Source organism: Homo sapiens, chromosome 4, assembly GCF_000001405.40.
Source record: "Homo sapiens chromosome 4, GRCh38.p14 Primary Assembly".
NCBI classification, from domain to species: Eukaryota; Metazoa; Chordata; class Mammalia; order Primates; family Hominidae; genus Homo; species Homo sapiens.
Window position 1 is genome coordinate 97,815,440 of NC_000004.12, and position 27,951 is coordinate 97,843,390.

General features: G+C 36.4%; 1 protein-coding gene across 7 annotated transcripts in view; it reads right to left on the reverse strand.

The window, feature by feature from the left end:
• The window catches only part of STPG2 (sperm tail PG-rich repeat containing 2), a 702,228-nt gene that overhangs the window by 374,191 nt on the left and 300,086 nt on the right, over positions 1-27,951 (reverse strand). For all 7 annotated transcript variants that reach the window (XM_047450118.1, XM_017008049.3, XM_011531886.4 and 4 more), the window contains one exon: positions 25,334-25,493. In XM_047450118.1, coding sequence (XP_047306074.1) covers positions 25,334-25,493 — 160 coding nt within the window. The remainder of the gene's footprint in view (positions 1-25,333; positions 25,494-27,951) is intronic.

The following is a 27,951-nucleotide window of genomic DNA, read 5'->3' on the forward strand; positions in this document are numbered from 1 at the left end:
GCTCAAAAAGTTTCAGCTTTCCGAATATTTTTCATTTTGGATTTTGGATTTTTAGATTAAGGATACTCAACCTGTATATATAAAATCTTTTGTTTTCTTTCCTCACTCTCTTGTCATGTAACATAAGATGTAATGACTTTATATTATGGTATTTAAGTATTGTTAATTTTACATAATACCATTTAAGTAACAAGATGTTGGGAAGAAGGGTAAATATCACTCAGGGACTTTACCTTCTCTTCTGGGAAAAGGTTAGTGCATTTTTGGTTGTACACAGGATAGCTGCACTATGTTAGGCAGAAGTATGATCTTGTTATCTTTATTTGGAGATTAAGTATGGTTTAAGTAGATTCATATGAATGCCAAGCTGACAAGAGGTAGACTTGTGATAGCTAATTTCATGTGTCAACTTGACTGGTTCACAGGATTCCCAAATACCTGTTTTTTTATTATTATTCTACTTTAAGTTCTGGGATACATGTGCAGAATGTGCAGGTTTGTTACATAAGTATACATGTGCCATGGTGGTTTGTTGCACCCATCAACCCATCAACTACATTAGGTATTTCTCCTAATGCTATCCCTCCCCTAGCCTCCCATCCCCCAACAGGCCTCAGTGTGTGGTGCTCCCCTCCCTGTGTCCATGTGTTCTCATTGTTCAACTCCCAATTATGAGTGACAACATGCAGTGTTTGGTTTTCAGTTCATGTGTTAGTTTGCTGAGAATGATGGCTTCCAGCTTCATCCATGTCCCTGCAAAGGACATGAACTTATCCTTTTTTATGGCTGCATAGTACTCCATGGTATATATGTGCCACATTTTCTTTATCCAATCTATCATTGATAGTCATTTGCGTTGGTTCCAAGTCTTTGCTATTGTGAACAGTGCTGCAATAAACATACATGTGCATGTGTCTTTATAGTAGAATGATTTATAATCCTTTGGGTATATACCCAATAATGGGATTGCTGGGTCAAATGGTATTTCTGGATCTATATCCTTAAGGAATCACCACACTGTCTTCCACAATGGTTGAGCAAATTTACACTCCCACCAACAGTGTAAAAGCATTCCTATTTCAGAGACCTGTTTAAAGATCATTTCTGGATATGTCTGTGAGAGTGTTTCTGAAGAGATTAGTATTTGAATTGGTAGACTGAGTAAAGCAGATTGCCCTCCTCACCACGGATGAGCATCATGCATCCTTTCAGGGCCTAAATAGAACAAAAAGGCAGAGAAAGGGAGAATCAATCTATCTTCCTTTCCTTCCTTCCTTCCTTCCTCCCTCCCTCTCTTTCTCTACCTTTCTTTCTTTCTTTTTCTTTTCTTTTCTTTTTCTTTCACTCTCTTTCTGTCTCTCTCTCTTTCTGACCCTCTTCCTTCCTTCCTTCCCTTCCTGCCTTCCTCCTTCCTTTCTTTCTCTTTCTCTTTCACTCTTTCTTTTTCTTTTTTATTTCTCTCATATATGCACATACATAAATATAAATATACATTTATACACATGTGTGTAGAAAATATATATTATATATTTTATATATTATATATTATTTTATATATACATATATTTCCTATTGGTTCTGTTTTTCTGGAGAATTCTGACAAATACAGGGTGTACTTAACAAAGAATAGAAGTTAAAAGAACAGGCCCACATGCCAAACTGCCTATATTTGAATCCCAGCTACATTCCACCTTGGAAATGTGTGACTTTAGCAAGTTATGTAACTTCCCTATGATTCAGTTATCTTTTCTGTAAAGCATGGTGATTATACAGTTGTTATGAAGATTCAATTAGTGTGTATATATATGATATATACATATAATAAATATAAATTTATTTTAAAGATCCTACTGGCACTATGAACTATCTGATAAATTATTGTTTTTACTAATAATGATTACTCTTCACAATCTATTACTATAAACTACATTAGTAATAAAAATGGTATTGAATTATTTTAAATGTCACGATAAAATTGTAAGAATTAGCAAAAACATTTCTTAACTTTAGAATACTTGCTTAGACATGGTGCCATTTCCCCTTGAACTGTTCTCTATAAATCCAAATTTTCCTTATAAATAGAATAAATTATTTCATTATAGTCTATCACAGTTTTTACTGTTGCATTTTACACTGGCTGCTTCCCCATTATCTAGAGGATTATTAGACTTTAGACATCGTGAAATGTGCTTAAAGTTTCTGAAGTTCAGCTTCTCACTCTCTGCAGAAAATCTATCCCAGAGCATTCCTGAAAATTAAATTAGATAGCTTATACTTGGATAATTTTAGTGATAAGAAGCCTTTTAACTCTAGAGGCAACTCTTCCATTAAAAGGCAAGCCTATTTAAAATTTTCTATATTTTCTTAAAATTTTCTTTTCCTAATTTCCCCACATTTTTCTTAGGACTTAACTTGACTAGCTTCATTCAGATTTGAAGGTCAGTAGAAGAGCTGTCTTTTATATGCATCAGATCTACTCAGAATTATATATATATATATACTCTGTCCTCAGAGTCATCCTTCCTTTTCCGTAAAAAGTAGCCCATGTTTACAGCTAAAGAGTTTTTTTGGCCATTTCCTTCCTGTAGAAATCTGAGAGTCCAAAGGCCTCTTTTCATTTTATATACTGTTTGTACCTCTTAGGCCAAGCTGACCCTATTATTTTTAAAACTATGTGAGCTTTTATTGATTTATAAATCACTCCATTATGCAAAGCCACACCACAAGATGTTTGAGAAAAGCTCTCTTCTATATATTATCTATATAGAGAGATATAAAACCTATTTATAGTAGTCTGTTCTTATCCACGGGGACACGTTCCAAGAACTCCAGTGTATGCCTGAAATCAAGGATAGTATCGAACCCTATAAATACTATGTTTTTTCCTATATATACATATCCATAATAAAGTTTAATTTCTAAATTAGGCATAGTAAGAATGACAATAGTAACTAATCATAAAGTAGAACAATTACAACAACATATTGTTATAAAAGTTGTGTGAATATGGTCTCTCTCTCTCTCTCAAAATATTTTATTTTACTGTACTCGCCTATTTTCAGACTGCACTTGATTCAGGTAACTGAGGCCATAGAAAGTGAAACCATTAAAAAAAAGAAGACTGCTGTATTTTCAATTTTTCTTGGCACTTAACTTCCCATCTCAATAAATAAACCAAGTCCACTTTCTGCTTTGAGGCTTACCACTCTATTTTAGACTTTAATTCTATTATCCTAATTTATGTTCTAAAATACCACTTCATCAGTTTTCTCCTCCCCACTCCACCCTGCATATTCAATCTCTCCTCAAATGAAGCTTTTCCCAGTCTTCAGTTCTTTAGAAGTACTCAAAAAGTGAATTACTTTATTCTAAATCAGAAAACTAATAATCTGTGTACTATACATGGAATAATTTTATCTATAATATATGCTTCTTACCAAATATAATCATTCTCAAATTATGTGTAGAGAATTTACTCTCTCTGTATATATATTTATGTATCTCTTATATAAATATACATATTTATATATAATATAAATAAATATATATTATATATAAAAAGTGTCCAAAGAAACAAAAATAATTTGAGGTTGAAAATTAATAAAGTTAGTTCATGTTTAATAATAAAATTTCTATCATTTCGAATAAAGATATAGAATCCACAAATCCCCAAAACTGATCTGACCAGCTTTTGCCCACACTCAGAATTATCCTGCATTTTATCACCTCAGAAGCATTTCTGGCAGCTATAGAAAAATGACCAAAAAAGTTATACATTTTTGCAGTAGGTTAACAGCACTCAGCAAGAGTGATGAACTGCATTTTGAAACACTTTCTAGTACTTCTGAAGCTAGAATATTATAAGTCACTGAGAAAACAGAATAAATAATTAATTTTTACACAACAGTGATTTTTACATCAAAGGTATTATTTATGTTTATTGAAAAAGTGAGCAAAACTACCTTCATGAGATATGTTCAATTAACTTCTAAGATAAATTATACCTGTTTCCTAAAATAATTTCCTGTGGGAATGTGATACGGAAATCACAATGTTATTTTCATGAGTAATGATCTACTCATTACTGAGTAAAGTAAGTCTCAGTACCTGATAGGTTAAGCCTACAAATGTTGTCTTATATGCTATGCATTGCTGAGTCTATCATTCATTTAAATATTTGGTTTCTAATAAAAATTATGCTGTCAACATCAACTGTTTTTCTTCATTTATTTAAAATCTAAAAATAATTTAATATTTTAACATTTAAATATTTTGCTGTAAAATTTAAACCATTTAAACTATTTAAATTAAATTATTTAATTTTATTGTTAAAACATTTAAATTTTTAATATATTTTTGACTTACTATAAAGCAGTATTTGTTCACATAGAGAACACAATGAAAAAATTGAAAAACCAAAACATAACTTTTTAGTAAGCCTAAGGCTGTTACTCAAATACAGGCATACCTCATTTTATTGTGTCTTGCTTTATTGTGCTTTACAGATACTGTTGGGATTGGTTTTTTGTTTTTTGTTTTTTTTTAAATTGAAGGTTTGTGGCAACCCTGCATTAGCAAGTCTATCAGCTCTCAGTGCCATTTTTCTAACAGTATGTGCTCCCTTCATGTCTCAACGTCACATTTTGGTAATTTTCTCAATATTTCAGACTTTTCCATTATTATTATTATATCTGTTATGATGAACTGTGATCAGCAATCTTTGATGTTACTATTGTAATTCTTTGAGGGCAACACAAACCATGCACATATAAAATGGCAAACTTAATCTATAAATGTGGTGTGTGTTCCTATGGCTCCACTGACCAGACACTCTCCCATCTCTCTCCCTCCCCTCCAGCCTCTCTATTCCATAAGACATAACAGTGCTGAAATTAGTCTAATTAATAACCCAACAATGACCTGTAAGTGTTCAAGTGAAAGGAAGAGTCAGGGGTCTCTCACTTTAAATTAAAAGCTATAAGTGATTAAGTTCAGTGAGGAAAGCATGTTGAAAGCAAAAACGACAGTAGCTAGACCTCTTGCACCAAACAGTTACCCAAGTGTAAATGCAATAGAAAAGTTCTTGAAGAAAATTAAAAATGCTACCACAGTAAATACACAAATCAAAAGAAAGTTGTTAAGCCATTCTTCCATTGCTATAAAAATATACCTGAGACTGTGTAATTTATAAAGAAAAGAAGCTTAATTGCTTAACAGTTCTGCAAGCTGCAGAAGCATGGCACTGACATCTGCTTCAATGTGGGGAGGTCTCAGGTAGTTTTACTCATGGCAGAAGGTAAGCAAGAGCAGGCATATCACATGGTGGGAGCAGCACAAGGTGGCACAGAGAGGTTACCACACACTTTAAAAAACCAGATCTCATGAGAACTCATTCTCTATTGTAAGGAAAGCCCCAAGCCAGAATGGATCCTCCTTCATGACTCAAACACTTCCCACCAGGCCCCACCTCCAAAATAAGATTTGGAGGGTACATCCAAACTATGGCATTTCGCCCTCTGCCCCCCAAATCTCATGTTCTTCTCACATTGCAAATTACAATCATGCTTTCCAATAGGTTCCCAAACTCTTAACTCATTTTAGCATCACTCAAAAGTCCCAAGCCCCAAGTCCAAAGTCTCATCTGGAGATGCATTCCTTCCACCTATGGGCCTATAAAATCAAAAACAGGTAGTTACTTTAAAGGTACAATGGAGGTTCAGGAATTGAGAAAACATGCCTGTTCCAAAAGAGAGAAACTGGCCAGAAGAAAAGGGCTCCAGCCTCTACACAAGTCTGAAGCCCAGCAGGACAGTCATAAAATCTTAAGGCTCCAAAATAATCCCTTATTACCCCATATCCTAAATCCAGGGCAAACTGCAGTAAGGAGTGGGCTTTCTAGACCTTGGGCAACTCTGCCCCTGTGTCTCTGCAGGATACAGCCCCTGCAACTACTCTCACAGGTTGGAGTTCAGTGCCTGCAGCTTTTCCAGGTGCAGGGTACAAGCTGCAAGTGGATCTATCATTCTGGCATCTGGAGGACAATGGCCCCCTTCCCACATTTCCAGTAGGCAGTGCCCCAGCGGGGAATCTGTGTGGGGCCTCCAACCCCACATTTCCCCTCCACATTGCACTAGTAGAGTTTCTCTGTGAGGGCTCCACCCTTATAGCAGGCTTCTGCCTGGGCACCCAGGTTTTCTCATATATCCTCTGAAATCTAAGCACAGGCCGCCAAGCCTCCCTCACTCTTGCACTCTGTGTGCCTACAGACTTAACATCACGTGGAAGCTTCCAGACTTAACAGCTTGAACCATCTGGAACTACAGCCTGAGCTATACCTGAGGCCCTATGAGCTGAGGCTTGGTCTGAGTGGCCTGAATGCCAGAGTAGTGTCCCAAGGCTGCACAAGGCAGCCAAGCCCCAGGCCTGGTCCCCCAAGTCATTCTAAGAAGAGCTGCCAAAAAGATCTCTGAAATGCCTTGGAGGCCTTTTTCCCATGTCTTGGCTATTAGCACTTGACTCTTTTTAGCCATGCTAATATCTCCAGCAAGTGGTTGCTCCATAGCCCCTCTGAATTCATCTCCTAATAATGCTTTTTCTTTCTCTGCTACATGGCCAGGCTGCAAATTTTCCAAACTTTTATGCTCAGCTTCCCCTTTAAATGTAAATTCAAATTAATTTTTAGTTACTTTTTTGCTCCTGCATCTGAGCATAGGCTGTTAGAAGCAAACAGGCCATTTCTTAAATGCTTTGCTGCTTAGAAATTTTTTCTGCTAGATACCCTAAAATACAGACAAGTTATTTGCTAAGGCATAACATGAGTTACATTTGCTCCAGTTCTTAATAAGTTTCTCATTTTCATCTGAGACCTTGTCAGCCCAGAATTCACTGTCCATATCACTATCAGAATTTGGTTACAACCATTTAAGCAGTCTCTAAGAAGTTCCAAACTTTTCCTCATCTTTCTGTCTTCTTCTAAGCCCTCCAAACTCTCCCAGCATCTGTCTGTTACTCAGTTCCAAAGTTCCTTCCTCATTTAAAGGTTATCTTTATAGCAATGCCCAACTTCTTAGTATCAGTTTTCTGTGTTAGGCTATTCTTGCTATAAAGAAATACTTAAGACTGGGTAATACATAAAAAGGCTTAATTGGTTCAGTGTTCTGAAGGCTGTACAAGCATAGTGCTGATACTTGCTTGGCTTCTGGGGAGGTCTCAAGGAGCTTTTACTTATGGCAGAAGACAAAGCAGGAGCAAGCACATTATGTGGCAAATACAGGAGCAAGTAGGGGGTAAGGGTGCCACACACTTTTAAATGACCAGATCTCATAAATCACTCACTATCACAAGGATGGCACCAAGCCATGACGGCTCTACCCCCATGACCCAAACTCTTCCCACCAGGCACCATCTCCAAAACTGGGTATTACATCTCTGGAGAAAGTTTGAGTGGTCTAAATTAAATAACAAACCAGCCACAACATTTCCTTAAACCAAAGCATAACCCAGAGAAAGACCCTAATTATCTTTGATTCTTTGAAGGCCAAGAGAGGTGGGGAAGCTGTAGAAGAAAAGCTGAATGCTAGCAGAGGATGATTCACAAAGATTAAGGAAAGAAGCTGTCTTCATAACATAAAATACAAGGTGAAGCAAGTGCTGATGCAGAAACTGCAACAAGTTATTCAGAAGATCAAGCTAACATCATTTATGAAAGTGGCTACACTATGCAAAAGATTTTCAATGTAGACAAAACAGTCTTATAATAGAAAAAGATGCTATCTAGGACATTCAGAGCTAGAAAGAAGTCAACGCCTGGCTTCAAAGCTTCAAAGGATAGGCTGACTCTGGAGCTCATGCAGCAGCTGGTGACTTTAGGTTGAAGTCAATGCTCATTTACCATTCTGAAAATCCTAGGATCCTTAAAAATTATGCTAAATATATTGTGCTTGTGCTGTAGATATAGAAAAGCAAACCCTGGGTGAATGCACATCTGATTACAGCATGGTTTACTAAATATTTTAAGCCTGCTGTTGAGACCTAGTACTTAGAAAAAGATTCCTTTTCAAAGTATTACTACTCATTGACAGCTGTTCTGCCTATGGAGTAGCCATTCTTTATTCCTTTAGTTTCTTAATAAACTTGCTTTCATTTTACTCTGTGGATTCACCTTGAATTCTTTTTTGTGTGAGATCCAAGAACCATCTCTTGGGGTCTGGATTTGGACCCCTTTCTGGTAATATCTTTCTGGCGAACCACAGAAGGGATGATACTGAAGAGACACCCGACCCAAAGGAAAATCATCTGTGTGAAACACCAATTGGCTAACTCCGGGTAAGTGGGATGAATTTACCCAGGTAAAAGATGGGACTGGATCCGAGGCCCAACCTAGGAAATTTAGAGTCTCTCCTAAGACAGAGAGAGTTAAAGGCCCCTCTTACTAAAAGCAAGGACACTTGACTGAACCTGGGTTTGAGACCCAACTTAGGGAGGTGAGAGTCCTTCCTAAGATTTAGGGGATGAGAGGCCCCATTCAGTAAAGTCCCTCTTGGCTAACAACAGGTTTGGCACTATGGGATATTAATTGCTATTCTCTTTGGATTAATCTGTCTTTCACTCTTTGCTGACGGCTATGGGTGGCAGAATTAGGCATGTACAGGATCATGGGACATGGGGAGTTTTTCTCCCTAAAAGGGGAAATTTGAGAGTTGACGGGGCTGCTGGGAAAAATCCCTGTGTGACTGACAAGCAGCTGCCTAAACTTTTCAGTGTGGCTGCAGTGAATGGGTCTTTCTCTGGCCTCCCTGAGCTCCTAGACTTCCCCATCCCATTGCAGGCAATGCTTTTCTCCCTTTCCCTTCCTTTCTCTCTCTCTCATAAACAGTTATTTTTACCATTCATTCAAAGTTGAATGAATGAACTTTGAAAATCATTCAAAATTGAATGAATGGTAAAAATCATGGTTTATCTCCTCTGTAAAGTTCTGATTAATTGGAAAAAGGATTTGTGAGGCTAGCCTTAAACTGTAGCAAATCTGTTGTATTTTGTGCTATGAATTTGTCTTTCTGTATCTTTCTGTCAGAAAGAGGGGTACCTTAGGATAGAACAGGGGCTTAGGGCCCCATAAGCCCTCTGTTCAAGACAGCACAGCAAACTGGTCAGTTATGTCCTTGGGAGCTTGACCTTGTAACCACGTGGCACTACTTTCTCTTGGTCTCTGCCATCTGGAGGACAGAAATTTGGGGGTTCATGAAATAGTCAGCCCTAAAAATTATCTTGCTAAAAGACTTCACAAGCTCAAAATTGGCTGCTCTAGACTCCTTCTGGGAAGAGCATTGGAAACTGCCCAATGCTGTAGCTCAGCAGCTAAAGTTTTGCCATTTTACGGGGGCAGCCTAGGTTCAATTTCTGGCTTAGGGAATGAGTCCTTTCTGGGTTGATACCTGCATGACATTTACCATTTGTTAATTTTCTTCCCCTCCAAAAACCATGTTGAATTGTCCTTTCTCTGAGCATATCGGAGGTTACCTTTAGTAAGGTTCAAACGCCAGAAATATTGGCTGTTTGGCCTGGCTAAAATCAGGTAATAAGAAATTTAAAAGTTTTTTTTTTAAGAGTGCTATGTTTAAAAGTCAGCTTAATTGAAAGTGGATATTCAAGCTCTAACAGCCTGAGGCTCCTTGGTAAAAAAAACTGAAGAGGCACCACAGACCCCATTTTAGGAAAAACTTCTCTTTTCCTCATGAAATCCAAGAAATTAGAAGTGGATAAGAGCCCACTCAAAATCTAAGGCTCTGTTCTGATTTGCATTGCATTATCTGACAACTTTAACTTTTGGGGGTGTCAGAAATTAGTTCACAAATTACTTCACATTATGAGAGAGCTTTGGTGTGTAATAACTAGGTAGGAAATTTACTTTTGGGGATAGCTAATGGCAGTTATGGGGAAATACTAAGCTCTGCACATTTGATCAGAGAAGCATGCTCTTCGACACCTAGAAGTTATGGAAATGTCCCCACCCGACCCCTACTGAGAGATAAGACTCCTGTGGGAGATGCATTGATTCCCTGTTTTAGGAGATCCAAGATCTGGTATAAAAATGGGACCCTTAAATTCTAGAAATCTGTTTTACCTCCCAACTGTGCCTGCTTATTAGGCCCTAGAAACTGTATGCTCTCCTGGCCCTGTTCCTCCAAGGGCTCCACTCTAAAGCCAGTAATCCAATTAAGAAACTGGTAAATGAAAAATCTTACAACTACTGAATCTTTTGTCTGTCTGGGTATTTATATATATTGTGTATGTGAAATATAAAAGAGCTTTGATTCATTGGTTTAAAATTAATAAGAGCTTAAATCAAGTATGTTATCAGAAAAATAAAAAGTGTAATGCCTTTTACTTCATGTAACATATCTTTGGTAAATAAATAAAGTTTTAAAGATTATTGGTAAAATAAAAGTCTTCAAAATTTAGACATTTGGTCTAAATTAGGCAGGTGATGTATTAGTTTGCTAAATGCTTTAGGGTCATAAACTGATTCTTTGACTTTTCTCAATTATTCAGTTTACTTAGTTTGGAGCATCAGATTCTATAATAGATAAGGCCTGGGGTCATGTGGAGAGCCTTGCCCTCTAGCTATGCGGGGAAGAGTCAGCTTTTATCTACACTTCTGTCTGATGTCATAGGCTCCACACCTGGTACATAATTACAATCACTTATTAACCAAGTTTTTCACCAAAAGAAAAAGTTGCTAAGAGTTAACAGTGTAACACGTAGTTGAGACTACTAAGAAAACAGTTCTACATGCAAGGCCTATCAGGAAAGTAGAATGTACTTTTGGTAAAAGATTATAAGAAGACATGGGAATGTGAATTTCTTGTCTACATTTAGAGGGTTAAAGGATTGTTTTATGTGAGATAGAAAAATATATATAAAGGTTTGAACAAGTTGTGGAAAGTTTATAAAAAATTAATTGTAAAGAGATTCTGCGTGCAAACATATTGGCTAAAGTTAAAGGGGTATTATTCAGTTCTTCCATAAATTGAACATAGAAATAAAAGCACAACAAGTGTTACTTACAGCACTGATCTGCTCTTTAAAAAAATTGTAAAAGGTTATAAAAGGTTTATAAGAACCTTACCTTATGGTCAAACTGATTAAGATTGAATATATTTGTCGACAAGGTTTTATTAAGAATTGAATTTGACATCAATAATGCACTAACACAAAAGTGAAATTTGTATTATTTGGTATAAAAATGATACAGGAACTATTGTCAAATATTAAATGGTGTTTGGCTTTCTTTGGGCTGTATTTGTATAAATATGTTATTGGTATGTATTCCAAAATAATGGGAAACTCCTATAATTCTGATAAGACACAGTGTATATTATCAGTAATAATTGTAATTGTTACATAAAATCATTGTATGCCACAGATGTAACCAAATTTCTTTGTCAATCATGTTTTTGACTATGGTTGCCCTAAGACATTTTGTCATTCACAGACAATTGTTGTCTTGTTTTGGTCCCCTTCAAAAGGAGGTTTTAAAATCAGCTACAGGAATTTGACAGGTGATCCTGAATGCAGGTTTCTGATAACATTGGAGATTATAACAGTAAAATAGAGGAAAAAACTTAGAGGAATCTCAGGCACAGCTGAAATGTTCCTGAACATCAAACAGGGGTTAAACTGCATGGACTAAATTAAGATAGAAGTCTAAAGTAATCTTTTTGACTCTTTGCTTAAAATGTTGCTGATCCTTTGTTTTGTTTTTCAGAGTTAAGGAAACTTTTGAGCTATAGACAGCTTTTTTTTTTTTTTTTTGAGATGGAGTCTTGCTCTGTCACCCAGGCTGGAGTGCAGTGGCATGATCTCGGCTCACTGCAAGCTCCTCATCCCGGGTTCACGCCATTCTCCTGCCTCAGCCTCCTGAGTAGCTGGGACTACAGGCGCCCACCACCATGTCCGGATAATTTTTTGTATTTTTAGTAGAGACGGGGCTTCACCGTGTTAGCCAGGATGGTCTCAATCTCCTGACCTCGTGATCCACTCACCTGGGCCTGCCAAAGTGCTGGGATTACAGGCATGAGCCACTGCACCCGGCCTAGACAGCTTTTAACAATCAAGTAAAGTATACTCCTGTGAACCAAATTTGAGGCATATTTGTTTCTCTCCACCTGATTTCTCCAAAATTGGAAAACAAGCCGTGGGTATTCTTAACTTATGGCAATATAGTTATTGCATAAGTGCAATAAGAATATTTTCTCTTTTGTAACAGGACACAATTGGAGAAACTGGTTATTTTACCAAGGCTTTGACTGGAATGGCACACTTTCCTTTACGGAATCAAACTTGACTTATAAAGCCAATAAAAGACCCTTAAGAAAAATGGCCTCATACCTTGCCCATACAATCTCTATCCAGAGTTGCTAACCTGTGGTAAGTAAAGAATGTCACTTTCTGACAGGCCCGGGAGCCCCAAGTTATCCTGGGACCTCAAGAGGAGAGGAATTTACCTAACTTATAGGTATTTAAGGGTACAAACCCATGACCAGACTTGGCTTTAAAAAAAAGAAAAATTTTATCTGATATTCCTTTTATGGAACAAAGTTCCATCAAAGCCAATTTAAAAAGCCTCTATAAAATAATCATTCTTGGATTTGATGGCAAGATGGCCAAATAGGAACAGCCCTGGTCTGCAGCTCCCAGTGAGACCGATGCAGAAGGTGGGTGATTTCTGCATTTCCAACTGAGTACCCAGTTCATCTCATTGGGACTGGGTGGACAGTGGGTGCAGCCCATGGATTGCGAGCCAAAGCAGGCTGGGGCATCGCCTCACCCAGGAAGTGCAAGGGGTTGAGGAATTCTCTCCTGAACTCAAGGGAAGCCATGAGGGACTGTGCTGTGAGGAATGGTGCACTCTGGCCCAGACACTGCACTTTTTCTAAGACCTTCGCAACCCGCAGACCAGGAGATTCCCTCCAGTGCCTATGCCATCAGGGCCCAGGGTTTCAAGCACAAAACTGGGCAGCTGGTTGGGCAGACACCAAGCTAGCTGCGGGAGATTTTTTTTTTTCCATATCCCAATGGCAACTGGAATTCCAGCAAGACAAAACCATTCACTCCCCTGGAAAGGGGGCTGAAGCCAGGGAGCCAAGTGGTCTGCCTCAGTGGGTCTCACCTCCACAGAGCCCAGCAAGCCAAGATCCACTAGCCTGAAATTTTTGCTGCCAGCACAGCAGTCTGAGGTTGACCTGGGATGCTCGAGCTTGATCGCGGGAGGGGCATCCACCACTGCTGAGGCTTAAGTAGGCAGTTTTATCCTCACAGTGTAAACGAAGTTCGAACTGGGTGGAGCCCACCACAGCTAAGCAAGGCTGCTGTGGCCAGACTGCCTCTCTAGATTCCTCCTCTCTGAACAGAAAAAAAGGCAGCTGCCCTGGTTAGGGGATTATAGATAAAACCCTCATCTCCCTGGGACAGAGCAGCTGGGAGGAAGGGGTGGCTATGGGCACAGCTTCAGCAGACTTAAACATCCCTGCCTGATGGCTCTGAGAGCAGCAGATCTCGAAGCACAGCGTTTGAGTCTCTGCTAAGGGTCAGACTGCCTCCTCAACTGGGTGCCTGACCTCTGTGTATCCTGACTGGGAGACATCTCCGAGTAGGGGTCGACAGACACCTCATACAGGAGAGCTGTGGCTGGCATCCGGTGGGTGCCCCTCTGGGACGAAGCTTCCAGAGGAAGGAACAGGCGGCAATATCTTTGCTGTTCTGCCATCTCCATTGGTGATACCCAGGCAAACAGGGTCTGGAGTAGAACTCCAGAAAACTCCAGCAGACCTGCAGCAGAGTGGCCTGTTACAAAGAAAACTAACAAACAGAAAGGGATAGCATCAACATCAACAAAAAGGACATCTACTCAGAGACACCATCCAAAAGTCACCAACATCAAAGAGCAAAGGTAGATAAATTCACAAAGATGGGGAGAAACCAGCGTAAAAAGGCTGAAAATTCCAAAAACCAGAACATCTCTTCTACTCCAAAGGATCACAACTCCTCATCAGAAAGGTAACAAAACTGGATGGAGAATGAGTTTGATGAATTGACGGAAGTACACTTCAGAAGGTGGGTAATAACAAACTCCTCTGAGCTAAAGGAGCATGTTCTAACCCAATGCGAGGAAGCTAAAAACCTTGCAAGAAGGTGAGACGAATTGTTAAATAGAATAACCAGTTTAGAAAAGAACATAAATGACCTGATGGAGCTGAAAAACACAGCACAAGAATTTCATGAAGCATATACAAGTATCAATAGCCAAATTGATCAAGTGGAAGAAAGGAATATCAGAGATTGAAGATCAACTTAATGAAATTAAGCGAGAAGAGAAAATGAGAGAAAAAAATGAAAATGAATGAACAAAGCCTCCAAGAAATATGGAACTGTGTAAAAAGAACAAATCTACGTTTGTTAGGTGTACCTGAAAGTGATGGGGAGAATAGAACCAAGTTGGAAAACACTCTTCAGGATATTATCCAGGATAACTTCCCCAACATAGCAAGACAGGCCAACACTCAAATTCAGGAAATACAGAGAACACCACAAAGATACTACTCGAGAAGAGAAACCCCAAGACACATAATCCTCAGATTCACCAAGGATGACATGAAGGAAAAAATGTTAAGGGCAGCCAGAGGGAAAAGTCGCATTATCCACAAAGGGAAGCCCATCAGACTAACAGCAGATCTCTCTACAGAAACCCTACAAGCAAGAAGAGAGTGAGGACCAATATTCAACATTCTTAAAGAAAAGTATTTTCAACACAGAATTTCATATCCAGCCAAACTAAGTTTCATAAGCAAAAGAGAAATAAAATCCATTAAAGACAATCAAATGCGGAGAGATTTTGTTACCACCAAGCCTGCCTTATAAGAGCTCCTGAAGGAAACACTAAACATGGAAAGGAACAATCAGTACCAACCACTGCAAAAACATACCAAATTGTAAAGTCCATCAACTCTATGAAGAAACTGCACCAACTAAGGGGCAAAATAAGCACCTAGCATCATAATGACAGGATCAAGTTCACACATAACAATATTAACCTTAAATTTAAACAGGCTAAATGCCCCAATTAAAAGACACAGACTGGAAAAATGGATAAAGAGTCAAGACCCATTGGTGTGTTGTATTCAGGAGACCCATCTCACGTGCAAAGACACACATAGGCTCAAAATAAAGGGATGGAGGAAGATTTACCAAGCAAATTGAAAGCAAAAACAAGCAGAGGTTGCAATCCTAGTCTCTGATAAAACAGACTTTAAACAACAAAGGTCAAAAGAGACAAAGAGGGTATTACATAATGGTAAAGGGATCAATGCAACAAGAAGAGCTAATTATCCTAAATATATATGCACCCAATACAGGAGCACCCAGATTCCTAAAGCAAATTCTTAGAGACCTACAAAGAGACTTAGACTCCCACACAATAATAGTGGGAGACTTTAACACCCCACTGTCAATATTACACAGATCAATGACACAGAAAATTAACAAGGATATTCAGGACTTGAATTCAGCTCTGGACCAAGTGGACCTAAAAGACATTTACAGAACTGTCCACCCCAAATCAAAAGAATATACATTCTTCTCAGCACCTCATCTGACTTATTCTAAAATTGACCACATAATTGGAAGTAAAACACTCTTCAGCAAATGCAAAACAATGGAAATCATAGCAAACAGTCTCTCAGACCACAGTGCAATCAAACTAGAACTCAGGATTAAAAGCTAACTCAAAACCGCACAACTACATGGAAACTGAACAATCTGCTCCTGAATGAATACTGGGTAAATAACGAAATGAAGGCAGAAATAAAGATGTTCTTTGAAACCAATGAGAACAAAAACACAATGTAGTAGAATCTCTGGGACATATTTAAAGCAGTGTGTAGAGAAAAATTTATAGTACTAAATGGCCACAAGAGAAAGTAGGAAAGATCTAAAATTGACACCCTAACCTCAAAATTAAAAGAACTAGAGAAGCAACAGCAAACAAATTCAAGAGCTAGCAGAAGACAAGAAATAACTAAGATCAGAGCAGAAATGAAGGAGATAGAGACACAAAAAAACCTTTCAAAAAATCAATGAATCCAGGAGCTGCTTTTTTGAAAAGATCAACAAAATAGACCACTAACCAGACTAATAAAGAAGAAAAGAGAGAAGGATCAAATACATGCAATAAAAAATGATAAAGGGGATATCACCACTGATCCCACAAAAATACAAACTACCATCAGAGAATACTATAAATGCCTCTACAGAAATAAACTAGAAAATCTAGAAGAAATGGATAAATTCCTGGCCACATACACCTTTCCAAGTCTAAACCAGGAAGAAGTTGAATCCCTGAATAGACCAATAACAAGTTCTGAAATTGAGGCAGCAATTAATAGCCTACCAACCAAAAAACATCCAGGACCAGATGGATTCACAGCCAAATTCTACCAGAGGTACAAAGAGGAGCTGGTACCATTCCTTCTGAAACTATTGCAAACAATAGAAAAGAAGGAATCCTCCCTAACTCATTTATTGAGGCCAGAATAATCCTGATACCAAAACATGGCAGAGACACAACAAAAACAGAAAATTTCAGGCCAATATCCCTGATAAACATTGATGCAAAAATCCTCAATAAAATACTGGTAAACTGAATCCAGAAGCACATCAAAAAGCTTATCCACCATGATCAAGTTGGCTTCATCCCTGGGATGCAAGGCTGGTTCAATATATGCAAATCAATAAATGTAATCCATCACATAAACAGAGCCAATGACCAAAAAAAAGCACATAATTAGCTCAATAGATGCAGAAAAGGCCTTTGACAACACCCTTCATGCTAAACACTCTCCATAAACTAGGTATTGATGGAACGCATCTCAAAATTATAAGAGCTCTTTATGACCAACCCACAGCCAGTATCATGCTGAATGGGCAAAAACTGGAAGCATTCCCTTTGAAAACTGGCATAAGGCAAGGATGCCCTCTCTTACCACTCCTATTCAACATAGTATTGGAAGTTCTGGCCAGGGCAATCAGGCAAGAGAAAGATATAAAGGGTATTCAAATAGGAAAAGAGAAAGTCAAATTGTCTCTGTTTGCAGATGGCATGATTATTTAGAAAACCCCATCGTCTCAGCCCAAAATCTCCTTAAGCTGATAAGCAACTTCAGCAAAGTCTCAGGATACAAAATCAATGTGCAAAAATCATAAGCATTCCTATACACCAATAACAGACAAACAGAGCCAAATCATGAGTGAACTCCTATTCATAATTGCCAGAAAGAGAATAAAATATCTAGGAATACAACTGACAAGAAATGTGAAGGACTTCTTCAAGGAGTACTACAAACCACTGCTCAAGGAAATAAGAGAGGACACAAATAAATGGAAATACATTCCATGCTCATGGATAGGAAGAATCAGTATCGTGAAAATGACCATACTGCCCAAAGTAATTTATAGATTCCATGCTATCCCCATTAAGCTACCATTGACTTTCTTCTCAGTATTGGAAAAAACTACTTTAAATTTCATATGGAACCAAAAGGAGCCCGCATTGCCAAGACAATCCTAAGCAAAAAGAAAAAAAGCTGGAGGCATCAGGCTACCTGACTTCAAACTATACTACAAGGCTACAGTAACAAAAACAGCATGGTGCTGGTACCAAAACAGATGTATAGACCAATGGAACAGAACAGAGGCCTCAGAAATAACACCACGCATCTACAACCATCAGATCTTTGATAAACCTGACAAAAGCAATGGGGAAAGATTCCCTATTTAATAAATGGTTTTGGGAAAACTGGCTAGCCATATGGAGAAAACTGAAACTGGATATCTTCCTTATACCTTAAACAAAAATTAACTCAAGATGAATTAAACACTTAAACATAAGACTTAAAACCATAAAAACCCCAGAAGAAAACCTAGGCAGTATCATTCAGGACATAGGCATGGGGAAAGACTTTATGATTAAAACACCAAAAGCAATGGCAACAAAAGCCAGAATTGACAAATGGGATCTAATTAAACTAAAGAGCTTCTGCACAGCAAAAGAAACTATCATCAGAGTGAACAGGCAAACTACAGAATGGGAGAATAATTTTGCAATCTATCCATCTGACAAAGGGCTAATATCCAGAATCTACAAATAACTTAAACAAATTTACAATAAAAAAAAATAACCCCATCAAAAAGTGGGTGAAGGATATAAACAGACACTTCTCAAAAGAAGACATTTATGCAGCCAACAAACATATGAAAAACAAAAAACCTCGTCATCACTGGTCATTAGAGAAATGCAAATCAAAACCACAATGAGATACCATCTCACGCCAGTTAGAATGGTGATGATTAAAAAGTCAGGAAAAACACAGATGTTGGAGAGGATGTGGAGAAATAGGAATGCTTTTACACTGTTGGGAGTGTAAATTAGTTCAACCACTGTGAAAGACAGTGTGGCGATTACTCAAGTATCTAGAACCAGAAATACCATTTGACCCAGCAATCCCATTACTGGGTATATACCCAAAGGATTATAAATCATTCTACTATAAAGACACATGCACACGTATGTGTATTGCGGCACTCTTCACAATAGCAAAGACTTGGAACCAGCCCAAATGCCCATCAATGACAGACTCGGTAAAGAAAATGTGGCATATATACACCATGGGATACTATGCAGCCATAAAAAAGAATGAGTTAATGTCCTTTGCAGGGACATGGATGAAGCTGGAAACCATCATTCTCAGCAAACTAACACACGAACTGAAAACCAAACACCACATGTTCTCACTCATAAGTAGGAGGTGAACAATGAGAACACATGGACACAGGCAGGAGAACATCACACACCAGGGCCTGTCATGGGGTGGGGCGCTAGGGGAGGGATAGCACTAGGAGAAATACCTAATGTAGATGAAGGGGTGATTGATGCTGCAAACCAACAGGGCACAAGTATACCTATGTAACAAACCTGCACACTCTGCACATGTACCCCAGAACTTAAAGTATCATAAAAAATTATTATTATTCGTGCTGCACTTTATACAGATAATCAGGCCAAATATAATAAAGCAAATTGGTCGTACTATGATTTGTCTTTATTAAAAATGGGAGACTGGAGAGAGAAAAAAATATGTTTCAAGAAATATGGTACACATGTTATTAGATGCTAGTCTCATCAGTTGTTTTCGAGTTTTTTATACAATTTAGACTAACCCTGCTTATTCCTGTGTTCAACCAGTGATCTCTGGCTGCTGCTCAGAAGAAACAAGAGGGATGGATCTCACCTTTTGTTGGTACTGAAGAGTTATGTATTGCCCTGACCATACCTACACTTTCTGACTGAGCTCCTCTCTACCCTGAATGCAAGAGACCCAATAGTTAGGCAGCAATATTATTGCCCCTGTTCAGCCTGAAGTTACAGAAGATGGATCTTCATCCCTCTCAAACCCTTAGGATTAAGGGTTCTCTTATAAAAGGGAGGGGGATAATGTCAGAGGCATTTGAATCAGAGTGCCTCCATCTTAAGTAGTGGTTGGGTAAAATAAGGCTGAGACATGCTGGGCTGCATTCCCAGTTAAGTTGCTCATTCTAACTCACAGGATTAGATAGGAGGTCGACACAAGATACAGGTCATAAAGACCTTGCTGATAAAACAGCATGCAGTAAAGAAGCCAGCTAAATCCCACCAAAACCAAGATGGTGAAAAGAGTGACCTTTGGTCATCCTCACTGATACACTCCCACCAGTGCCACAACAGCTTACAAATGCCATGGCAATGTCATAAAGTTATCCTATATGGTCTAAAAATGGAAGGAATTCTCAGTTCTAAGAAATGCCAGAAAACGCATGAATAATCCACCCCTTGTTTAGTATATAATCAAGAAATAACTGTAAAAATGGACAACCAACAGCCCCTAGGGCTGCTCTGTCTATGGAGTAGCCATTCTTTATTCCTTTATTTTCTTAATAAACTTGCTTTCACTTACAAAATAAAAATGTTACTACTTGTTGATAAGGCACCTGTCACCCAAGAGCTCTGATGGAGATGCACAAGGAAATTAGTGTTATTTTCATGCCTGCTAATACAACACCCATTCTGAAGCCCATGGTTCAAAGACTAATTTCAACTTTCAAGTCTTAGTTTAAAAATACATTTTGTAAGGCTATGGCCACCATACAGAGTGACTCCTCTGGGATCTGGGCAAAGTAAATTTAAAACCTTCTGGAAAGGCTATACCATTATAGATATCATTAGAACATTCATGATTCATGGGAAGATGTCAAAAGATGAACACAAACAGAAGTTTGAAAAAGGTTGATTCCATTCCTCATGAATTGAGGGGTTCAAGATTTCAGAAGAGGAAATAACTGCATGTATGGTGGAAACAGCAAAATAACTAGAATTAGAAGTGGGACCTGAAGATGTCTGAATTGCTAAAATTTCATGATTAAACTTGAAAGGATGAGGAGTTGATTCTTGTGGATGAGCAAAGAAAGTGGTTTCTTGAAATGGGATTTACTCCTGGTGAAGATGCTGTGAACACTGCTGAAGTAACAACAAGGGATTTCAAATATTAGATAAACTTAGATGATAAAACAGTTGTAGGGTTAGGGAGGATTAACCCCATTTTTAAAGAAGTTCTATTGTGGGTCAAGTGCTATCAAGCCACATCAGATGCCACAGAGAAATCTCATGAAAGGAAGGGTCAATCAATGTGGTTAATTTCATTGTTGTCTTATTTTAAGAAATTTCCAGAGCCACCCCAACCTTTAGTAACCAAAATTCTGACTATTCAGCAGCCACCAACATCAAAGCAAGACCCTCCAGGAGAAAAAGAAGACTCACTGAAAGCTCAAATGATTGTTAGCAGTTTTTTTTAGCAATTCAGTATTTTTAATTAAGCCATTTACGTTGTTTTATTCAGACATAATGCTATCGCACACTTAATAGACTATAGTATAGTCTAAACATATTTTTTATGTACTGGGAAATCAAAAAAACTCATGTGACTCGCTTTATTGCAATCTTAGTTTTACTGCAGTGGTATGTAACCAAACCAAGCCATATTGCCAAGGTATGCCTTTATTAATTTCTCAGTGAAGCCTTCCCCATTAACATTATTTGGAATTGATTCACTATCCACTCTAAACTCTCAATCCTTTTACCTCTTGTTTGTCCCCATGGAATTTAAAAATGCTTGATTTTCCTTCTTCCTCTATTAATCTGTCAATCTACCTCTTCATTTATTAAATGTCTTATACTTGAAATGAAGCTCTATAAACAAGAATATTTACTGTATCACAGCATATATTATTCATTAATTAATAATTAATATTAACAATATTTAATTAATAAATGATAATTAATAACAATAAATTAATATTTAGTTAATAAATTATATTATTAATTAACATTAATATTAAGCTCTATGAAACAAGAATATTTACTGTATCACAAGTCCCTGGAAGAGTGCTTAATACATAAGATAGTCTCAATACATATTTGTTAATTGATTGAAAAGATTAATCCTATCTTGTTACCAAGATCTTCCCATGTTTAAAAAAACCATATAACATTTCTAATATTTTCATAGGACTCTAGTCAGCTGATATATCAAAATTAACTAAACTCCACTTTTCTTTCCATTTAGGACATTTTGGAGTTTTTATTACTTTTTTAATGAAGTCCTTGATGTTTAAGTTTTGGTATCAATAATAGCCTTAGGATGATCTTAGAAGCAGAATTCTAGGGTCAAATGGCATGAATGCTTGAAACATTTTGCCAACCTGCCCTTAAGAAACACTGATATAAATTTATACTTTCAACACAATGTATGAGGCTCCTCAATTTTCCACACTCTCAACAATGTTTATATCTATTTTCTTTTTAAATTTGTTGAGCATACCCCTGCCCCCAACCCATGACTAAAAACAGGTCAATGTGAGAGATAAAGTGATGCTTAAATACTTTTCCACTTAACAATTTCACTTACCGGAGTTGGATCAATCACAAAATCAATTACATATCCATGAATTAAAACTTGGTGTAATAAGAAAAGACTGCTTTATAATGTGATAAGCCTCATTTAATTATTTCTTCATTAGACAATTCTAACGTGTTTTATTAGTCACACAACACTAAAGGGTATACAATATACTGAGTCTAGATGTACTATTTCCTTCTTTAATTTAGACTAATGAAAATGAGTTTTATCCCTCTTAAGTATATTCCAAAAAACTTTACTTATAAATAAAACCATTTTCATATTTCTAAATAAAGATGTAAAATAATTTGAAATAAATACATGGCTATAACATGAGTTATTGAATGTCTTATAAGTTCCATAAATCCCATGAGATTACAATTATTCACATATGCATCAACTTCAGTTCTTAACACTTTTACCTACAAATGTAAGATATCCAGTAATCAATTTTAATTTTCCAATAATTCTCTATATAGATAGAAAGAAAACGATGTGCGTTTTTTAAGTTCAATGAGGCACAGCATTCTTTCTAGTAATGTCATGACCCAAGTAACAAATATGCATATCATGTTCTCCAAATTAAGTCAGACAATGTTATAGTTTTATTTATGTGTACACACATATATACATATAACAATACTAAATAATTTTATCTGATGTATAAGAAATTCTGCATCCAACCAAAAAAGGTCTTTCCATTGCTATTAAAGCAAAACAAAATTACCAATGTTTAAAAGAGAAATAATAGGGTAAAGAAACTTCTTTTCTTATTTTGTTACTAAGAACATTATGATATGAAAGGCCATCATTCATAAGATAAACATTCCCCACACCATATAACAAATAGAATTATTATCACTGAATCTTTTGATTATACAATGATGTTTTAAAAATCAAATGATGTCATGTATTAGTTGTCCCTAGCAAAAGTTAGGGTGTAAATTACAAACAGAAACAGGCTATTTTCATTTTAAAGCAAAAACAATATTAATATGTATATATTAATATTAAAAAGAATAGACAATTTTTTGGTTATATTGATCAAAAAAAACGTAAAACTCTATTTAAAAATTAGGAATCTATTTAGAGACTTGATAATATCGCACTTAAATCTTGTCCTTGATTAGATCAATGTAACAGAGTCTAGACAAAGGAAAGTTAATCTTCAATTACCAGAATACGGCATGATATTAATTGAATTGGCCCTGGGCACCTACTAAATCTATTTTAGAGCAAAATTTTGGATGGTATACCTTAAGGTAGCAGATTAAATTTAAAAGGATAATTCCATAATTACTACAATATCTACATGTCAGAAGATACAAAATTTCATATATCATGGTATCAGATAATAGCTTCAGAGGTCCATATGGCTTTTTCCAATGTGTTGATAATAGAGGCACATGGGGTTTCTGTTATTATCCCTTTGAAGTATGGGCCACTTTAAGATGCACGATAGCAAACTTCATGAATTACTGGTATTAACCAACATGATAAACTCTTTTCATTTCACAAGCTGTCTACTCTGCAGTTGTACAGTGACTTTGACAGTCACTATGTCTTTGACTTCCAAATAATAACTGTCTTCCAAATGAATACATTTCCCTTACCTCTCAAATTATTTTAGAAGTTAGTGTTGGCTTAACATTAGGAAGAAACATGTTTCATATTATGATAAGATCTTATACTTCAAAGGAGCTTCAAAGGTTCTGAAAATGACTCTGAAATATATTTCTCATTAATCTTTTGTATTCTCATGAGGCAAGTAGGTGGCAAATATCTCAACTGTGAAAAACAGAAACTAATGAAACAATTAGCTAATTTACTTGCCCTATGCTAAATACTGAAGCAATGAAAAGTCATAGTGTCAATCCTGGCACTTAACTGAAACTCTTATTTTGCATTCCATCGGTAAGAATTTTTATGCAGAGGAGAGTAAAGGAATACAGACAAAAAATATCAGGAAATATGATACTCAACATAATTTACTTCATAAGACCCTGAGATTAATATTATTTCTTATTTAATTGATTGTGCTTGATGATGGTGATGGTGCTGAAACTTCAAAGAACTTATTTCCCTGGGTGACCACAGTTGAGTGTAATCAGGGACACACTACAGGAGTTTGAATCCTACTTCACAGCAAAGCTAAAACCTCACAAAATCAACATGGTGTAATAACTCAAGAGAAGAAAAAGAAAATAAAAAGTGAAATTTCAACTTAAAATGGATCTATAAGCTGGCAATATGCCTGATTCTTAAAAGGCAATGAGAAACAAAGCAAACCTCTGGATCTCAGGCTGTCCAAGTATTATTTGCTGGATAAGTTATATTCTCCTGTTTTAGTTTTTCATTAAAAACTTTGGAAAAAAGAGTTTCTTCATTCTGTTTCATTTTTTTCTCCATATTCTCATAAAAATTCATTACAATGGTATGGTTGTTTAGTGGGAATACACCTGTAATTTATTGTTGAAAATGATTGTTCCTGTTCTCTATCTAGTTTTCCTGTGTAAAATAGCATAATAACTGACTTATCTTCATTTCCAGCAAGTGTTACTGCTTTAGAACAAGAATGCTGTTACTGATAGCTAAGACCATCCAAATTTTAAAAATTAAAATTAATTTTGGAATTGTAAATGCTCAAATAAATGTTTATCTTTTTAATATAGCTTCTTTCTTTATATTTGAAAAAAAATAAAAATAATTCTGTACAACTGCCTTGATGTATATCTTCTATATGACTGATTTTCCAAATCAGGGTAAAGTGCCTTTCTCCTCTAACAACTTTAGCATGTTATGAGTTCTGTTTTTTTCCCTAATAGAATGCTGAATGACTTTATTAGCTTTAGTAAAACTGGTAAAATTGTCTTTGGTAAAATTAAGAGACATAACCCACCCTCCCCCAAAATCTTCTTACGTTTGAAAAAAATAACTTAAGTCTTTTACTGAATAAGTATTTTCCTTTTTGGTTTTTGACCTACACACTTAAGAGAGTCAGGGTAAATGCAAATGTTGTTTACAATCACAGTAAGTCCTCACATAACATCATGGATGGTTTCTCGGAAACTGCAACTTTAAGCAAAATGATGTACAACACAGCAGGTCCTCAAATAATGTTGTTTAGTTCAATGTTATTTTGTTACAGCACTGATGAGAAAAATGGTTTTGTTATACATTATTTTGCTTAACTTTTCAGTCTCCAAGAACCTATCAATGATTCTAGATATTTTAATATGGAAACCTTAGAATTTTTTTCCTCATAGCTTTATAAGGACTTCTAGACTTACCTGGCCCATCAGTCACTTTTTCTAGGCACCGAGGAGTTGCACTAAGAAAAGAGGCATGTTTTCTTTTAGCCACTAAACTACGAGGTGGCATATATTTATGCTTAACTTGGGACATCTCATATGATTTGTGAACATCATAGCTGCCTGGCGCTGGAATAACCTGAAAAAAAATTTAATAGATGAGCATAAATATATCTTATACTGAAAATATCCAAGAAGATACCAGATGGATGGTTACAGTAAGCAATGAATAGAAAAATCCTAATACTTTTATTAATTAAACATTAAAAATAGAAACTTAAAAAGGAATTCTTAAATCTAGCCTGCCTAATAAAAATGTAAATTTACTTGCCAAAATTAAAGTAAAATAAACACAAGTATGAACTTTAGGATCATATTCTTTAAAAAATAGCTTTCATGATATAGATCAAATATATTCAATTTAATCCTGAAAATCAAATTGCTTATAAGAATGAGAGCAATGATTACCTGTTTTCCTAAGCAGCAGAACTATTCCTGCTTTATTGTTGTAAGTGAACATTGTTTTACTTATTCTACAAAATGAGACTGCTTATTTCATCTTTAATAGATTACAATTAAGTTAGAAGGCTTCCTCTTTCATCATTTATGGTTCTTTATATGAACTGCAGTCATAGTAACATTTTTAATCAACATGAACCCACATGGATATTAATAAATATAATAATTAATTCTAAACTAAATGAAATATAAGTGCCATATATTTGTTGGACAAGTAATGCCTTAAACAATTAGCTAACTATCTCAGTGAAAACTTTTTTAAACTCATTTTCCTCAAATTATAACATATTCCTTTGAAATCTATTCACCTAGATTATGTATAAAGACAAAAACTTTTTAAGCGTTAATGATTTCCCAGTAGGCAGGAAAGTGTTATGGCTAAGCATGTGGACTCTGGCACTAGACTTCCTAGGTTCCAAATATCTGCTGCTTACTAGCTATGTGACCTTAAGCAAGCCACTTACCCTCTGTGTTCCTGAGTTTTTGCATGTGAAAAGTGAGAAAAATGATAGTACTTATTTTATAATATTATTCTGAGGATTAAATTAGTTAAAATGAGTAAAGTACTTAGCTTGGTACCTGTTTCTATAAAAGGGTTAAGTGAATCTTACTATTCTAGAAAAGCTAATTTCAATGCAAAAACAAAGCCTGACCAATCAGGGTTTGAGCTAACAGGGAAGTATTTTAAAGTTTCAAATAAGTCAAACAAATTTGGATGCTGAGAAAGCATACTTTTGAAGTCCCTCTAGGAGCCATATTTTAGAAAACACATTTTTTCTTGTTCCTTACATCCATATTATCACCCTCAAGCATATGCTAACAACATTATCTTCCACTTCCAAAGAATCACAAAATATGGTAAGATCATGACTAGGGGAGGGGATTCTTACATGAAAACCCCACTTCTGGTTTGAGTCCCATGTTAAACATGAAATGTCATGATAGGTAAGTCATCAAAGAAATGCTGGACACCATTTTCTTTTTGTCTGCATCAAGAGTATATACAGTAAAACTAGGCTGAAAATAAGCAACAGAGGCAATATTTCCATGGATTATTTGTGTATCTTTTGGGGCTGCCTCTATGGTATGTGAAAAGAAACCGGAAGAGATTATAAAAACACAAAGAGATCCTGTGCATACAATATGCCTAGTGTAAATAGGAAAGCTTTGCGAAGATCTTGATTGTGCCTACTATACACTTTAGTTTTCTTATCAGAAGACATTATTGTTCCCATTTCCTGTAACACCCTACGTGGTGTCACCATCTATTTCTTCTTCCAGTGCCTAGACTGGATATAATTGATAAGTTTGGCTACTGCCACACAGAAACTATTTTTTTTAATAACTTGAAGCAAAGACAAGAAACTGCATCAGTGATCAGTGTTCTTCAACAATAGTTTGTTCACACCTGGAAAAGTTTGTCAAACTAGTTCCTTAAATTCCAGTAGATTCACTGCCTCTCTTACCAATCCAATGTATACTACCCTTGTTCATGACCACCTGCTGCTATGTATATTTATTCTTCTCTGAAACTTATTCCCTTCTTGTCTACTTTACTGATGTTCCCTCCTCTTCCTACTCATCTTAAATTCTAATTTTATCTGACCAAGAGATTAACATTTCAAGTAAATATCCTAAGCTGATGATTAATAGGACAAATCTGAAACTCTGTCTAATAACAATAATTTAAACAACACCTATATACCATATAGTACCCTAAATGAGCTGAATACCATTGTCAGGGAAAAATAGTATTTGTAGATGAGATCATCAAATTTGTTGGCGATTCTTTATACATCATAGAAAATAAAGAAGGGACATGAAGAATGGATATAATAGACATTTCTCATGGTTTTTTGGTGGTTTTTTTTTTCTCTTTTTGGCTTATTGCATGACTTTTTTCTCATACCAATATTTAAATCCTGTTCTTGCATTTGGGAAATTCCACATTATACAGCAGAGAATCTGGGTCCCAACACAAAAGCTAAAAATGTCTGGCTCTCATCTTCCTGGTCTCATTTTTTAGCTAGAACATGAATCCTGGTCATAGGCTTAGTGTCCTGACTTCCTCATCTGGA